Raw genomic sequence first — 17,428 nt, forward strand, 5'->3', positions numbered from 1 at the left:
GGCTGAGGCCTAAGGTTTGCAGGTTTTTTTATGAGGCAGCCTAGAGGGCTATTTTTTGGAATGGACGACTGGGAGTTTTTTATAAAGGAGGGTTGGCTCGGGAAAACAGGGAAAAGGACACTGTCCTGGATGGCCAGAGGGAGACGATAAAAAGAACGATCGTCACCGCTGCCTTTTTCATTCCTGGAATGGGATCGAATGGCTTAGAGGTGTCCCCCTAAGACCAGATGATCAGCAAGTGCTTGGCACACTCCAGAGCCTTTTTGGACCAATGTTGGATTTTCGGACCAGAGAAACCAAGAGAAACCATGCGGATTTTTCCCTGTTAACCAGGGTCCTGGGGAAACTCACCAGTAGGCGAGATCAGTGACCGGTGTGCACGCACAGAGAGCTGACTGGAGGCTGAGGAGCTTCCTTTGTCCGGCTGCTGTGGCCTGCTCTCCGGGGTGGAGGGGTAGGTCCACGGGGGATGCAGACCTGAGCCTCTCCCGGGTTTTGGCACCAAAATGTAAGGTTCTTGTATCCGTTTGAACCCCGAGAGGGAGCCAACAGACAACACGACGCGGTGTGGAGCAACATGCTGTTTTAATGAGCGCCTGGGTGCAGGCAGGCTGAGGCCTAAAATGGCGTCAGCACCAAAATGAGAACAGAGCAGGGGTTTTATGGTCTCCTGTAAACAGGAAGTGTCCCAGTTTGACGTGACTGCTATGTACTACATACTACAGTACCCAGACGGCCTCTTTTTCAATCTTCAGGGGTACGTGTCTTCCCACCAGGGTAGGGGTCTTCCAGCTGGCTGTCTTCCTGCTTCGGCTACCTTGCTGGTGCACGCTGCTGACACAAATAGCCTTGTGCCTTGGGACTGGGCCTGAGAAGGGAGGAGTTACTCATCCCTTCAAGCTTTCAGGCCTCAGGGAGAATCTTACAGTTTTTATCATGGACAGGTGGAAATCTAGATGTTTCTAATTCAGACCCCAAGTTTTGGAATGAGTTTGGCATCTCACTTGGAAGACCTGGGGATACTTAACTCCCAAATACCGGGAGGCTCCAAGTTTCCACTAGAGGGCCACACATACTTTGAGACAAGAAAGAGGTTGGCAAATAACACAGGAATTCTAAAGCAATAAGCTGCAAAAAGTAGGGGGAGGAGGAATGTTTTTATGCAGAGCCTTGCGAGAATGAGCCGCTGCTGGGAGGTGGGTGGGAGGGTGCCCATAGCAGCAGCAGTGACTAAAACCACCACCACCTCCATCTTAGTTGTTTTCCTTTGTTGATGAAAAGAGTCAAACTCTGTAACGTATTTGAAAAGGTTTGTTCTGAGCCAAATGGGAGTGACCAATGGCCCATGACACAGCCCTCAAGAGATCCTGAGAACATGTGCCCAAGGTGGTCAGGCTACAACATGGTTTTATATATTTTAGGGAAACATAAGCCATCAGTCAGTACATGTAAGATGTACACTGGTTCAGTTCAGAAAGGCAGGAAAACTGGAAGCGGTCAGCTTCCAGGTCATAGGCAGTTTCAAACATTTTCTGACTGACAATTGGTTGAAAGAGCCATTATTGGCTGGGCACGGTGGCTCATGCCTGTAATCCCAGCACTTTGGGAGGCCGAGGCAGGTAGGTCACTTGAGGTCAGGAGTTGGAAACCAGCCTGGGAAACATGGTGAAACCCTGTCTCTACCAAAAAATACAAAAATTAGCCAGGCATGATGAGGTACGCCTGTAATCCCAGCTACTTGGGAGGCTGAGGTGGGAGAATCACTGGAACCTGGGAAGCAGAGGTTGCAGTGAGCCAAGATGACACCACTGCACTCCAGTCTGGGTAACACAGACTGTGTCTCAAAGAAAAAAAATTATTATCTAAAGACCTTGGCCAGGCATGGTGGCTCATGCCTGTAATCTCAGCACTTTGGGAGGCTGAGGTGGGTGGATTACCTGAGGTCAGGAGTTTGAGACCAGCCTGGCCAATATAGCAAAACCCCCATCTCTATTAAAAATACAAAAATTATCTGGGTGTGGTGGCACACACCTGTAGTCTCATCTACTTGGGAGGCTAAGGCAGGAGGATCTCGCTTGAACCTGGGAGGTGGAGGTTGCAGTAAGCCAAGATCACACCACTGCACTCCAGCTTGGGCAATGAGCAATGAGCGAGACTCTGTCTCAAAATAAATAAATAAAATAAAGACCTGGAATCAATACAAAGGAATGTCTGGGTTATGATAAGGAGTTGTAGAGACCAAGGTTTTATGATGCAGATAAAGTGTCCGGTAGCAGACTTCAGAGACAATAGATTGCAAATGTTTCTTATTAGACTTAAAGAGTCTGTTGTATTAGTCTTAAAGTCTGTGTTGATGTTAAGGCTGGTCAGCTAAGCCTGAATTCCAAAAGGGAGGAGGGTATAATGAGGTGTGTCCAACTCCCCCTTCCCATGATGGCCTGCACTAGTTTTTCAGGTTAACTTTAGAATGCTTTTGCCTGAGGGGAGGGTCCATTCAGATTGTTGGGGGGCTTAGAATTTTATTTTTGGTTTATATCTTCTCAAGAAAAGAAACAAAGCAAAACCCAGAAATCCAGACAGTCTTGATAATCAGAAGTACTTGGAAACCATAATCACTTCAAGAGACTTTATTTAAAACAAATGACTTGACAAGATTGAAAAAGTATGTTGTATGTTGATTGTTTTTTTTTGTTTTTTTTTTTTTTTGAGACGGAGTTTTGCTCTTGTTGCCCAGGCTGGAGTACAGTGGCACAATCTCAGCTCACTGCAACCTCCGCCTCCCGAGTTCAAGCTATTCTCCTGCCTCAGCCTTCCAAGTAGCTGGGATTACAGGCATGCACCACCACGCCCGGCTAATTTTGTATTTTTTTTAGTAGAGATGGGGTTTCTTCATGTTGGTCAGGCTGGTCTCGAACTCTCAACCTCAGGTGATCCGCCCACCTTGGCCTCCCAAAGTGCTGGGATTATAGGCGTGAGCCACCACACCCGGCTATGCATGTTGATCTTTTAAAGGAATAGAAAAAATGTTTCCTTACTATACTAAGGGTATTTAGATCCGCATGACTAGTGGGTTTCATTTGACGAGCCAAATCTAGTCAGTCAGGCAGTTACCCTTAGGGTTTTGTAATCAATTAGCCAAGCTGACCACGAAAAAGTCAGAAAGAGTATCTAGGACTTACCAACATTTATCTACCTAGACGTATCCTCCTAAAATTAGAATCAGCAAATGATACCAGTAATATTTATTATTATTTGATATTGTTTCGGAAGTCCTGGCCAAATCAATAAGATATGAGAGAAAATGGTGGTTAGGGAATCTGAAAAGAAAGAAACTACTGTAGCATTTTCTGTAAGTAATTAAGTAGGAGAAAAAACATAGATCATTTTTAAGCTTCTAGAGTTATAGCAAGAGTATAGAAATGACCAGACACAGAGGTCCATATATGATTATCTTTTTGAAAATAGTTCTATATTTGAAGTAGTTATATATCAATTAGACGATTGTGTTATGAAGAAAAGGAGGATAAAGACACACACAAAAAAAACTAATGTGACCTATGTTATAAAAATAACATTTTATTTGGAAATTGTTAATGTTTGAAAGCAGACAAAATAAGGATAGCAACACAAAATGCCTTCTGACTTAGTGTGATAATATTCACAATATAGCATTTACCTGGTGAATTATTCATCACATATCATGGTGCTTAGGTTTGCTGGCTCAAGTTGTGACGTTGTTTTCAGAAAAAAAAAAAAGGGGGGGCTTAACGAAACTCATAGATTACTCAGATATAACCTAGAATGATATTTTTTAATATGTAAAGGATAACTGTCACACTTCCTGAAATACAGATGTCAGCATGACCAGTGCAATCTAAGATTTTAATTAGAAGGTTGCTTGGTAAGCGTAGAATTAAAGGGAAAGGAGATAACTGAATAGTTGAAATGCTTTTTGGCCCCAGGCAATTCAGGTGAAGGTACAGCATTCAATGAACCCACAGCCAATTCTACCTCTTTTGTTCCTTGTTTTCATGTTTTATTTTTCATTTTTATTTTTATTTTTTGAGATGGAGTCTCGCTCTGTTGCCCAGTCAACGCTCTGTTGCAGTGGCGCGATCTGGGCTCACTGCAAGCTCCGCCTCCCGGGTTCACGCCATTCTCCTGCCTCAGCCTCCTGTGTAGCTGGGACTACAGGCGCCCGCCACCACGCCCGGCTAATTTTTTGTATTTTTAGTAGAGACGGGGTTTCACCGTGTTAGCCAGGATGGTCTCGGTCTCCTGACCTCGTGATCCGCCCGCCTCAGCCTCCCAAAGTGCTGGGATTACAGGCGTGAGCCACCGCGCCCGGCCTTCATGTTTTATTACTGCCTATCCTTGCCATACCTCATCTGATTCACACACATTTTATTTATGTAACAAAGGTTTTTAAAAATGTATAGGTTAAAATTAGGCAGTGTGGTGAAGGGGAAACTTTTTTTTTTTTTACTGAAATCTTATGAGTTCTTAGTTGGAGAGGAGCCCTGAAACCAAAGACAGATCAACAAGAGAAAAACAAACTTAAATTTATTTACTTGTTTATTTCCTATATACATGGGAGATACCCAAGGAATGAGTAATTCTTGAGGTGGCTTTGGTTTTTTGTTTGTTTGTTTTGTTGTTGTTGTTGCTGTTTAGACAGTCTTATTCAGTTACCCAGGCTGCAGTGCAATGGCGCGATCTCGGCTCACTGCAACCTCTGCCTCCCGGGTTCAAGCGATTCTCCTGCCTCAGCTTCCTGAGAGGCTGGGATTGCGGGCATGCGCCACCATGCCTGGCTAATTTTGTATTTTTAGTAGAGACAGGGTTTCACCATGTTGGTCAGGCTGGTCTCAAACTCCCGACCTCAGGTGATCCGCCCGCCTCAGCCTCCCAAAGTGCTGGGATTACAGGCATGAGCCACCGCGCCTGGCCCTAAACCCACTTCTTTTGTCTGAATTCTCAATTTGCTTGATGCGAGACGGAGACGATGAACCTCGGGTATTTACCCCAGACAAATGACGCCACTTCACAAGTATGTTGCAGAATATTCAAAACCAGAGAATGAGGATGAGCACAAGAATGACTGGGACAAAAGCACATGAATGGGATATTCTTGAGAGATCCCCTAAGATAAAGACAGGATTGGATATGATACCTGGGTGCTCTGGCCTGTTAAAGGGCCAGAGGAAGTAGAAACAAATGAGAAGTAGGTGGAACCAGAAAAAATACACTAATTCCAGGAAACATTCCAGGCAAGTGTATTAAAAATAATGATTTACTGCTTGGATTTGTAGTGAACATGATAATAAATAACAGCACAGATTCACATGGAAATCATGTTAGACTAATCTAATCTCCTGCCTTAGGTAGAATTAGGAAATGTGGAGAATATTTTGCATCTTTACTTCTGCAAAGCACTTGATAAAGTCTCTCAATGCAATGACTACCTTCCTAACTGGTTAAACCAGATCATGTGATGATGTGACACAGACCTGTCTCCACAGGCCTATCTTATTCATCATATTTTCAGGTGACTTGGATGAAGATGCAAAATCTCATCACAATAATAGATGACATGATAGTCAGGGAGAGCAAATAACATGGATGATGGAATCAAGATCCAAAGTTCTTACCAGTCTGAAGCAGTGGATTATATCCAGTAACAAGAAATTTCACAAGTATAAATTTTGTGCCCTTGAAACAAAATCAGTTGCATAAGTACAGGACAGGACTTGGATGCTAACTAATAGTTTGTCATAAGTACCTTTACTTACCCAACATTAATTGAGGGCTTCCCCAGTGTTGAGGTTGTGTTAGGAACTGGGGATACAAGAGTGAGTGAGACACAGTTCCTACCTTCAGTGATTTTGCAGTCTGTTGAGGAATATAAACAAATAAACAGGAAATTATAATGTTACGTGAAAGACTCCTAGAGCTAAGCCAGGCTCGGTGGCTCACACCTGTAATCCCAGCACTTCGCGGGGCTAAGGCAGGCGGATCACCTGAGGTCGGGAGTTCAAGACCAGCCTGACCAACATGGAAAAACCCTGTCTCTACTAAAAACACAAAATTAGCCGGGTGTGGTGGCACATGCCTATAATCCCAGTTACTCGGGAGGCTGAGGCATGAGAATTGCTTGAACCCGGGAGGCAGAGGTTGCAGTGAGCCAAGATCACGCCATTGCACTCCAGCCTGTGCAACAAGAGCAAAACTCTGAAAAAAAAAAAAAAAAGAAAGAAAAGGAAAGGAAAGGAAGGAAGGAAGGAAAGGGAGGGGAGAAGAGAAGACTCCTGGTGCTAAAGATCCCAAAGGAGCACTTTACCCCACTCTGACAGGTTTAGGAAATTTTTCCTATGGTAAGTCACAGCTGAGTGCATACCCAAAGATGAGTAGGAGTTATGTAATGTTGAGGGAAAGAACTTTCCTGACAAATCCAGTAGCACGTCAATGGCCTGTAAACGAGGAGGACCTGGCTCAGTGGGCCCTGAAAGCCCTGGATTGCTTGCGTGGCTGAAGTAGAAGTCTACAGGGGCTGGAGAAGGGAGCAAGGAAGGACCAGACCGAGGAGAGGGGTGAACTGGAATTTAATCCTGAGGAATAAAGACATTTAAATAGGGTGTCAGACTTATTATTTAAAAAGAGCACTCCGGCAGTAAAGTAGAGAATGGATTAAAGTGGGGACCAGCCTGGGCACAGAGAGATTATCAAAGAGGCAATTACAGTAAACGATCTAGGAGAAATGTGGATGGCCCTAAATAAGCCGTGAGAATGAAAAGCAGTGGAAGTTAAAGATATGGAAGAGAGAAAAATCTACAGAACTTGGTGATTGATTGGTTTAGGGCAATGAGAGAAAGGAGGAAGTCAAATAGAACACAGGATTACATTGTCCTGTGTAGCAATTTAATTTTTTTGAACACTCCCAGTAACAGTAAGAGAGAGATGCTAGTATTATGTCTGCTTTACACTTGAGCAAGCTTGGAGAAGTTCACTAACTTGTTTAAGTTCAGGCTAGAAAGGAGTATATATTCGCTATTCAAACCTAGACAAACTAAAATATAGACTGAGCTTTTATTTTCATATATCAAGTACAAGACATAAGAAATAATAATTTTTGAAATATCAATTCCTGTTTAACATCAAAAGTTTTATGATTGTATCCTATTTTCTGAGTCTCAAGTCTTTGTCCGTAAATGTTCACGGATACCCAAAAGTGTTGACATTTGAATCCCAGGTTATAGCAAAGAGGACAATAAAGCGACTTGCAGGATCTTCCTTTGTTACTAATGGAATGTCCAACAGCAGAAGAAGTGCAGAAGTCCTGAGAAATGATGACTCTAGGGATTCTGCTTAGGCAACTCATTTATAAAAATGAGAGTCACAACAGGAACATTTACTATAATCAGAAAGATAAACTCCAAGGTTTTTAAGATTACTTTCAATTAAATGACAGACTGATTTCTGACTTCTCAAGAGACCAGGTAAACCAGAAAACAGTAACTATTATGTTTAAACTACTGGCTGGGTACAGTGGCTCATGTCTGTAATCCCAGCACTTTGGGAGGCCAAGGCAGGTGGATCACTTGGGGTCAGGAGTTTGAGACCAGCCTGGCCAACATGGTAAAACACTGTCTCTACTAAAAATATGAAAATTAGCCAGGTGTGGTGGTGGGCGCCTGTGGTCCCAGCCACTTGGGAGGCTGAGGCAGGAGAATGGCTTGAACCCAGGAGGCAGAGGTTGCAGTGAGCCAAGATCACACCACTGCACTCCCACCTGGGAGACAGAGTGAGACTCTGTCTCAAAAAATAAATAAATAAACGACTGAGAGAAAAGTACAGCCAACTTAAAATTATCTAACCTGCAAAAATGTCACTTTAAAATGAAGGTAAAATAAAACTTTTTCAGACCAAAAAAAACCTAATAGAGTTTATAACTAGTGGACCTTCACTAAAGGAAATTTCAAAGGATATACTTCAGGCTGAAGAGAAAAGCTACTCGATGGAAATCTGAAGTTCAGGAAAGAATGAAACACAGAAAGCATGATAGAGCTGGGCGTGGTGGTATGTGTCTGTAATCCCAGCTTCTCAAGAGGCCAAAGTCAGAGGATTACTTGAGCTCAGGAGTTCAAATCCAACTGGGGAAATTAGCAAGATCCTGTCTCCTAAAGAAACAAAAACAAAAACAAAAAAAAAACAAAGCATGATAAATAAATATGTGAGCAGCTGGGCTCAGTGGCTCACGCCTGTAATCCCAGCACTTTGGGAGGCTGAGGTGGGTGAATCATTTGAGGTCAGGAGTTTGAGACCAGCCTGGCCAACATGGTGAAGCCCCATCTTTACTAAAAAATACAAAAAATTAGCCAGGCGTGCTGGTGCACACCTGTAATCTCAGCTACTGGGGAGGCTGAGGCAGGAGAATCACTTGAACCTAGGAGTCAGAGGTTGCAGTGAACTCAGATTGTGCCACTGCACTCCAGCCTGGGCAACAGAGTGAAACTCCATCTAAAAAAAAATAAATAAATAAATGAAAATAAAAAACAAATAAATATGTGAGCAAATATAAATTTTTTGACTCTATAAAGCAATAATGTCTTATAGAATTAAAAACATAAAATTAAAATTAAAATTAAATATACAACAGCAGTAACAATTTGAGAATGTTATAAATTGAGTCAAGTGGGCCTGGTGCAGTGGCTCATACTGTAGTCCCAGCACTTTGGGAGGCCAAGGCAGGAGGATCACTTGAGCCCTGGAGTTAGAGGCTGCAGTGAGCCATGATCACTTCATTGCACTCCAGCCCGGGTGACATAGTAAGATCCTGTCTCTAAAAAAAAAAGAAAAAAAATTCAGTCAAGTACAAGAGATGATTTAAAATATGAATTAGATTTTTATTTAAAATTAATATTTAAAATAATTAGATTTTTAAAATATAATAGATTTTTATATGTTTAGTATGCATGCTGAAATTTCTAGGATAAACAATTAAAGGAATAGAGACACCGTGTATACATTCCAAACTAGCAGAGAGAATAAGTGAAATGTGAATCAGTTAGAATAGGCTTACTTGTGCTGCAGTAACAAAGAACCTCAAAATGTCAGTGGCATAAGATTTATTACTCATTTCTCCTACACGTCCATCATGGTCCAGCAAAGGGGTTCTCCCTACCATAGTCACTTGGGAACACAGGCTGACACAGGCTTCATCCTGACACACAATTCCACAGTAACAGAGGCAAAGGGAAGAAAGCATGGTAACCTGCAGGCCAACTCTTGATCCTGCTGCAAGAAGGGACATACATGACTTCTACTCACACATAATTGACCACAGAAAGTCACGTAGTCACATCTAAGTACAAGGGACAAAGAAGTAGGATCCTTCTAAGTGCCTGGAACAAGAGAACTAAACACCTGTGATTAGCCTTAATGGCTTTTATGGAGTGATATAGAAATACACAACTAATCCAAAAGAAGGGAAAACAGGAGACGAAAAAGAAATACCAAACAAACGAGACAAATAGAAAAGACTAAATAGATGATAGATGTACACTGAGGAAGATGGAGATGAATAATTGCAATAAATATAAATGGTCCAGTTAAAACACAACACTGATGGAGGAAAATCTAACTCTATGATGTTTACAAGAAATACTTCAAAAATGTAAGAATTCAGAACTCTGGAGAATGAAAAGATAGAAATGATAAAAATTGCAGCATAGTCATGCTTTAGAATCCTTTAGGGCAATAAAATTGAACAAAATATATCCCTTGTAGCAACATAAATGGATTGAATAAACATAAGGTAGTTCAGTCACAAAAAATATATATACAATGAGATTCTATTTATATAGCATTCAAGAACAGGTGAAATTAAACTGTAATGGTTAGAGACGGATACATAAGTGATATAATTATAAAAAGAAGAAAGGAAATTGTTATCTCAAGCATAATTTTTTTTTTTTCTGGAGGGAAAGAAAGTGCCGTGGTCAGGAAAGAGCACATGGTTGAGAGCTTCAGAAATACTGCCATTGTTCTGTTTCTGACCTTGGCAGAAGTCAAAAGGGTGTCTGCCTCATAGATATTCTTTAAACTTTGCCTACATGTATGATTTTGGCACTCTGGTACGTGTGCGTGACTGTGTGTGTGTGTGTTATATAATGTACCTTATAATTTTTAAAAAATGCTTAAGAAGTAAAGATTTTATTAGATGATTAGATGTGAAAATCAGGAGGTCATGGATTCTTTGCTACAGTAGTTTCAGAGCGTCCTTTTTCCAGCTGAAGAGAATATTAGAGCTAAAGGAACAGAGTCAACAAGGAGCTTGGCAATGAAGAGAAGGAGCCAACTGGTAAGTAGTTTCGGAAGGCTGCGTAGAAGGTGACATGAGATTGTCCATATCCTAAGGAGTCAGTACAGAAGACACTGGAAATACAGGGCACAGATACAGCACAGTCTCAGGAACTGGGCAAAGATGGGATCCAGCTCACAGGCAAAGGTACAGGAGAATGTCCTACCTATAAGAATGTTGGAGGCCAGGCACAGTGGCTCACGCCTATAATCCCAGCATTTTGGGAAGCCAAGGTGGATGGATCGCCTGAGGTCAGGAGTTTGAGACCAGCCTGGCCAACACGGTGAAACCTCATCTCTACTAAAAATACAAAAAGTAGCCCGGTGTGGTGGCAGGCATCTGTAATCCCAGCTACTCAGGAGGCAAGGCAAGAGAATTGAGTGAACCCGGGAGGTGAAGGTTGCAGTGAGCTGAGATCATGCCCCCGCATTTGAGCCTGGGCGACAGAGTGAGACTCTGTCTCTTCAAAAAGAAAGAAAAAAAAAGAATGGTAGAAAGGAAGGGAAGTAGGTACCAAAATGGAAACGGACGCAGCCAAGAAACAAGGAAGTTGACCAAGAATATGAACAGAAGAGGAAGGTCCTTTCAGCAATGGAACCTACTTCTACAACTGGAACTTAAGTCACTATCCCCCTTTGCCTCAGACTTGTTCTGAAACAGGGTTCGGAGAATGTGTGCATCACCTGTGTTGTCTGGATCATGGGGAAAGATAACTGGTACGGAATGACCTGTGACCTGTCACTGAGAGGGCTCACTTCCTGTGCATTAAATCACAGCTACTGTATTCAGATTCATTACACATATTAAAATATGACATTCATCTCTCAGAATATTTCTTTTTTTTTTTTTTTTTTTTTGAGACGGAGTCTCGCTCTGTCGCCCAGGCTGGAGTGCAGTGGCGCGATCTGGGCTCACTGCAAGCTCCGCCTCCCAGGTTCACGCCATTCTCCTGCCTCAGCCTCCCCAGTAGCTGGGACTACAGGCGCCCGCCACCACACCCGGCTAATTTTTTTTTGTATTTTTAGTAGAGACGGGGTTTCACCGTGTTAGCCAGGATGGTCTCGATCTCCTGACCTCGTGATCCACCCGCCTCGGCCTCCCAAAGTGCTGGGATTACAGGCGTGAGCCACCGTGCCCGGCCAGAATATTTCTTAAGTAATTCAACGTATATCACAACTGTAATTTCTTGTTTTTCTTTTTGAGACGGAGTCTCGCTCTGTCGCCCAGGCTTCAGTCCAGTGGTGTGATCTCGGCTCACTGCAACCTCCACCTCCAGGCTTCAAGTAATTCTCCTGCCTCAGCCTCCCGAGTAGCTGGGGCTACAGGCATACGTTGCCACGCCCGGCTAATTTTTTTGTATTTTTAGTAGAGACAGGGTTTCACCGTGTCGCCCAAGCTGGTCTCAAACTCCTGAGCTCAGGCAATCCGCCCGCCTCGGCCTCCCAAAGTTCTGGGATTAAAGGCATGAGCCACCGTACCTGGCCCCAGCTCCGTGATCTGTAAAACAGACAAGCTGGATAACTCACAAAACAATAATAAAGAATAACTGAAATGTATATGTATATTGGGGGTGGATTTAAAGAGGGGTGTAGAGTCGGTTCACCTTTTTAATCTTTCCTGTAATACTGACTGATATTTTTCTGGATGAGTACAGATTTACAGACAAAAGTCCTGATTTAGTATTTTAAAGATAAGTGATTTTTGATCTTCTGTAATTTGTTTCTTTATCTGTAAATTAAAGCACCTTATTCAAAGGGTTATTGTGTGAACTAAATAAAATAACCCAGGTAAAGCATCTAGAACAGTTCAGCCAGCTCAGTGATCAGAGTTGCAGCCTTATTTGCCTGAATAATGAAATAATTATTGATTTAAGTTCCCAGCTATGAAACCATATGTCCCAGTTTGCCCAGGATCTGCTCTATGTATGCTGCTGTCCTGGCTTAATTACTAGTAGTATTCCTTCTCACTCTCAAAAGTATCACAGTTCAGACAGTAAATTAGATGGGCACCCTATTCAGAGCACATAGTAAGCTCTCCATAGATATCATTATATTGTTATTATTACCAGTTTAATATAGCTTCTGAAAAGGTCACAATTAACAGGTAAGTTTGGCTGGCACGGCGGCTCATGCCTGTAATCCCAGCACTTTGGGAGGCCAAGGCAAGTGGATCACCTGAGGTCAGGAGTTCGAGACCAGCCTAGCCAACATGGTGAAACCTTGTCTCTACTAAAAATATGACAATTAACCGGGTATAGTGGCATGCGCCTGTAATCCCAGCTACTCGGGAGGCTGAGGCAGAAGAATCGCTTGAACCTGGGAGGCAGAGGCTGCGATGAGCCGAGATTGAGTCACTGCACTCCAGCCTGGGTGACAGAGCAAAACTGTCTCAAAAAAGAAACAGTTAAGTTTACATTCTGAATTAGTAGGAGTGACAATGATTGAAGTTTTTGACTGGGCAGGAAAGATAGACTGACAGTTCCCTCATTCTATCTTTATATAGAACTGGAGAGCAGCACAGAAGGAGGGGGACATGTCAAGGAATACCAGGCGGGCAGAGCCTGCTTTAAGGCATCTTCCAAAGGTTATGAGTCACTGCAGACACACTGAGAGTCACACTGGGGGAAGGTGCAGCAGACAGGGAGAAGTTCAAAGTGGTGTTTCTGAGAGACTTGGGGCACTGTGTACAATTAATCATCTCTCCACATGGGTGACTGTGGGAGCCACAGCAGTGCCTGAGTCTTCCAGGGGAAACACTGAACATGGAAATTTGTGGAAAGGAAACGAAGGAGGTGGATGAAAGCTGGAGGAACAAGTGTTTAAACAATGCAGCTTTTCTTGCCCTGGAAGGTTCTTTGGGTACTAACCTTCTGTGTGGTAGACAGAGGGCGGCCGGGGAGAGGAAGGAAACTACCAAGAGAGAGCAGCAGCAGTCTTGCCTGTGCTCCCCTGTGGTGCCCTTTCTTTTGAACTCTTTCTTGAACCCTTAATCCCTGTCAGGCTCCTGGAGGAGCCTCACTGGGCAGCCTCAAATCTCCCCAGTTTGCCCTGTCCTCAGAAAAGCAGACCATTGAAATTGCTATTTCAGAGCTGGAAGCTGGTCAGCCAGCTCAGATGACCGGAGTTGCAGCTCTTATTTGCCTGAATAATAAAATCATTATTGACTTAAGTTCTCAGCAAACAGTGGGGTATTTGTTTCACATTTCTGAGCTGCTGCTCAAGTTCCAAAAAATGTCCCCTTCCAAAGAAAAGTATTTAAAATTGGATTGAGAGCGAAGAGTAGGTGGAATAGGCTATTGTGGGGGAGGTCCTGGATTTGCAGTGAACTTTCACTGACCTTTCAGCTCCTTAGGGCATGCTCCTTGTCATCTGTCCATCATGCCCAATGGCCAGCCTAAGGGGAGAAAATAGAGTGCTCTCTCCATGATGGCCAAAACTACCTGCCTGGCTGGCTGTCCGTCCGTTATCATCTCAGTCTCTAACCCACTTCTTGCTGCTCCTGATTCTATGCCCACTTAACTTGTCAACTGTGACTTTGTGGAACATAATATAACAAAAAAAGGCATGGGCTTTAGGGAAATTGGCCCCAATTTAGGCAGGAATTTGAGCCCCAGTGCCACTGCATAACCTAAAGCTAATAACATCATTTTGGTTATCTGTTATTGCATAACACACTTACTAAACAGTACTTTTTATTTTATTTTATTTTATTTTTTTAGATGGAGTCTCCCTCTGTCACCCAGGCTACAGTGCAGTGGCATGATCTCAGCTCACTGCAACCTCTGCCTCCTGGGTTCAAGCTATTCTCCTGCCTCAGCCTCCTGAGTAGCTGGGACTACAGGTGCAAGCCATCATGCCCAGCTAATTTTTGTATTTTTAGTAGAGACAGGGTTTTGCTATGTTAGCTAGGCTGGTCTTGAACTCCTGACCTCAAGTGATCCAACTGCCCCAGCTTCCCAAAGTGCTGAGACTATAGGCATGAGCCACCTCACCTGGCCTTACTAAGCAATACTTTTATTAGTTCTCCTGATTTTATTATTTAGGTATAAACCTGCAGTCTTAACCAGGGTGAGTGAAGTGGGGGTAGAAAAAAAGTTCATATCCTGAACCTTTTTTTAGCAATCTTGTTTACTATAGTGGTATGAACAAAGCATTCTTAAACTACTTTTGATTTATTATAAGAGTGAGCAAATAAGTACAAGGGTTAATGTTGTTAATCACGCTGTGGAAGAAAGGACATGCAATTATGGAAGGGAGGAAGGCAAGGAAGAACCCTGTGAGGATGGATTGAATTAAAGGTATCTCTGTAAACTAATAATTTTTTAAATATGTATATGTACATATGCATACACATTTATGTATGTGTACATTCTTTTGTGGATAAATGCGGGCATATATTTCTTAACTCTGTTCACTAAAAAAGCCTTGAAACAAAGACACTCCAGCAGCAAAGAACACACCTACCAAGATCTTGGTCTCTAACACCATCCCCCCACTAAAAAATCAGGGCACCTTAGGAAAATGACTGAGGTGGAGCAGGTGCAAGATGAGGCTGGAACATATTGCTATGCCGCAAAAAAATGAAGTCCTGAGAAAGCAGAAAGGATAGCATATCACAGAGACACGGAAGGTAGCTTGAAACGGATCTCAGTGGCCAATACTGGGACTATTTGGGCACCAAAATATTAACTACAATAGTGAATTATAAGCCATTGAAAAAATAAAAATTTGTGAGTCCTACTGGCAATTAATATAAACACAAATAAACCAATGTGAAGAACATAGGGTTTTGCTTACAGTAGAAAGCTGAAAGCTAGCTGTTAAATGTGGCATGCAGAAACTTAAAAATTATCATTTTGTCACTACCATAGCAAAAAGTGGATTAAGCAAGAATTATCAATGCATGCTAAATCTAGGGGAATTTTTTTTTTTGAGATGGGAGTCTTGCTCTGTCACCCAGGCTGGAGTGCAGTGGCACAATCTCGGCTCACTGCAACCTCCACCTACCAGGTTCAAGAGATTCTCCTGCCTCAAGCTTCCCGAGTAGCTGGGACTACAGACATGCACCACCACACCTGGGTAATTTTTGCATTTTTAACTAGAGACGGGGTTTCACTATGTTGGCCAGGCTGGTCTCAAACTCCTGACCTCAAGGGATCTGCCCACCTCGGCCTCCCAAACTGTGGGGATAACAGGCATGAACCACTGCGCCCAGCCAATCTAGGGGAAATTTTGAAAAGAAACAGGGTGTTTACAAGACCTTAATGTATCCCCTCCACAAACTGTTTATTAGTAGAAATGGAGAAAAAAATAGCAATTATATAATGAAGATAACTGACAGCATCTTCCCTGGGTGATCACAACTGACATCATCATTGCAGGACACATGGATGTTTCATGCCTCCAGGCTTATTGCCCTGAGGACACAACATCACCTATGCAGTATTCTGAAACAGAATGCATAACCTGAATTTAATCATAAGGAAGCATCAGACAAACCCAAAATGAAGAATGTTAAAAAAGGAGGTGTCTTATAAAACTAAACACACTCAGGCCAGGCACGGTGGCTCACACCTGTAATCCCAGTACTTTGGGAGCCTGAGGCAGGTGGATCACCTGAGGTCGGGAGTTTAAGACCAGCCCGATCAACATGGTGTAACCCCGTCTCTACTAAATACAAAAAATTAGCTGGGTGTGGTGGCACATGCCTGTAATCCCAGCTACTTGGGAGGCTGAGGCAGGAGAATCTCTTGAATCCAGGAGGTAGAGGTTGCAGTGAGCCGAGATTGTGCCATTACACCCCAGCCTGGGCAACAAGAGCAAAACTCCATCTCAAAAAAAATAAAAAAAAAATAACTAAACACACTCTTAACACATAATCCAGCTGTCACTCTCCTTGGTATTTGCACAAATGAGTTAAAAACTTATGTCCACACAAACACCTGCACATGGATGTTCATAACAGCTTTATGCATAACTGTCAAAGTTTAGAAGCAACCAAGGCGTCCCTCAGGAGCTGAATAGATAAATTACTGTGGTACATCCAAATAATGGAATATTATTCAGCACTAAAATGAAATGAGCTCTCAAGTCATGACAAGACATAGCGGGACCTTAAATGAATATTATTAAGTAAAAGAAGCTATTCTGAAAAGGCTACTACTGTATGTAGCTGCTACTACATACTTTATGTACTGTATGATTCCAACTATATGACATTCTGGAAAAGGCAAAACTATGAAAATGGTAAATAGATCAGTAGTTGCCAGGGGTTAAGGAGGAAGGGAGAGACAAATAGGCAAACACAGAAAATTTTTGAGCAGTGAAACTATTCTGCATGATATTATAATGGTGGATGCATGTCATTATACATTTGCCAAAACCCACAGAATGTACATGACCAAGAGTGAACCCTAATATAAACTACAGACTTTGGGTGATAATACTGTATCAATGCAGGCTTCTCGGTTGTAACAACTGTATCACTCTGGTGGGGGGATGTCGATAATGGGGGAGGCTGTGCTTGTTGGGGGGCTGTGAACCTGAAACTACTCTAAAAGATAAAATCTCTCAAAAAGGTGGGATAAAAAGGTCTTCTCTTTTGTGATTTCTTTAAAAATGTTGAAGACCAAAAAGACACGGAAAGGCTGTGGAAATGATTCAGGTTAAAGGTAGCTAAAGAGTTTTGGCAGTTAACTGCATCCTGACGCTAGCCTGGAGCCTGCACTGGGGGGAGAAAGTATACTTCAAAAAAGATTGTGGGTCAACTAACAAATTTGAACACAAACAGTACATTTGATAAAATTATTACATCAATGTTAAATGTAATACTCTAGCCAAATTTGTCTATTTACTATCGTCTGAATTTTCCTTTTGAATCACATTTGCCATTCCTACTGCCTGGGGTGCCTCTTCCCACCTATGCAAGTCCTACCCACCTCCAAATTTCACCTAACCACTCATGACCACCCAGAAGACTTGCCCAAACATTTCAGCCCTGGGTGAGCTAGTCCTTCTCTGAACTCACAGAATCTGTTTCTACACTGCTGACTTTGTGCTTTTACAGCCT

The 17,428-nt window shown here is 42.6% G+C and overlaps 1 annotated feature.

Annotated features, from left to right (window-relative positions):
* Positions 4,360-4,860: an enhancer, noted in NCBI's record as "H3K4me1 hESC enhancer chr14:21308316-21308816 (GRCh37/hg19 assembly coordinates)". NCBI's record gives its function as "activates a minimal SCP1, AML or CMV promoter by ChIP-STARR-seq in naive H9 embryonic stem cells {active_cell/tissue: H9 hESC(naive)}" and the evidence as "EXISTENCE:reporter gene assay evidence [ECO:0000049][PMID:30033119]".

This window comes from Homo sapiens, chromosome 14, assembly GCF_000001405.40.
Source record: "Homo sapiens chromosome 14, GRCh38.p14 Primary Assembly".
NCBI lineage: Eukaryota > Metazoa > Chordata > Mammalia > Primates > Hominidae > Homo > Homo sapiens.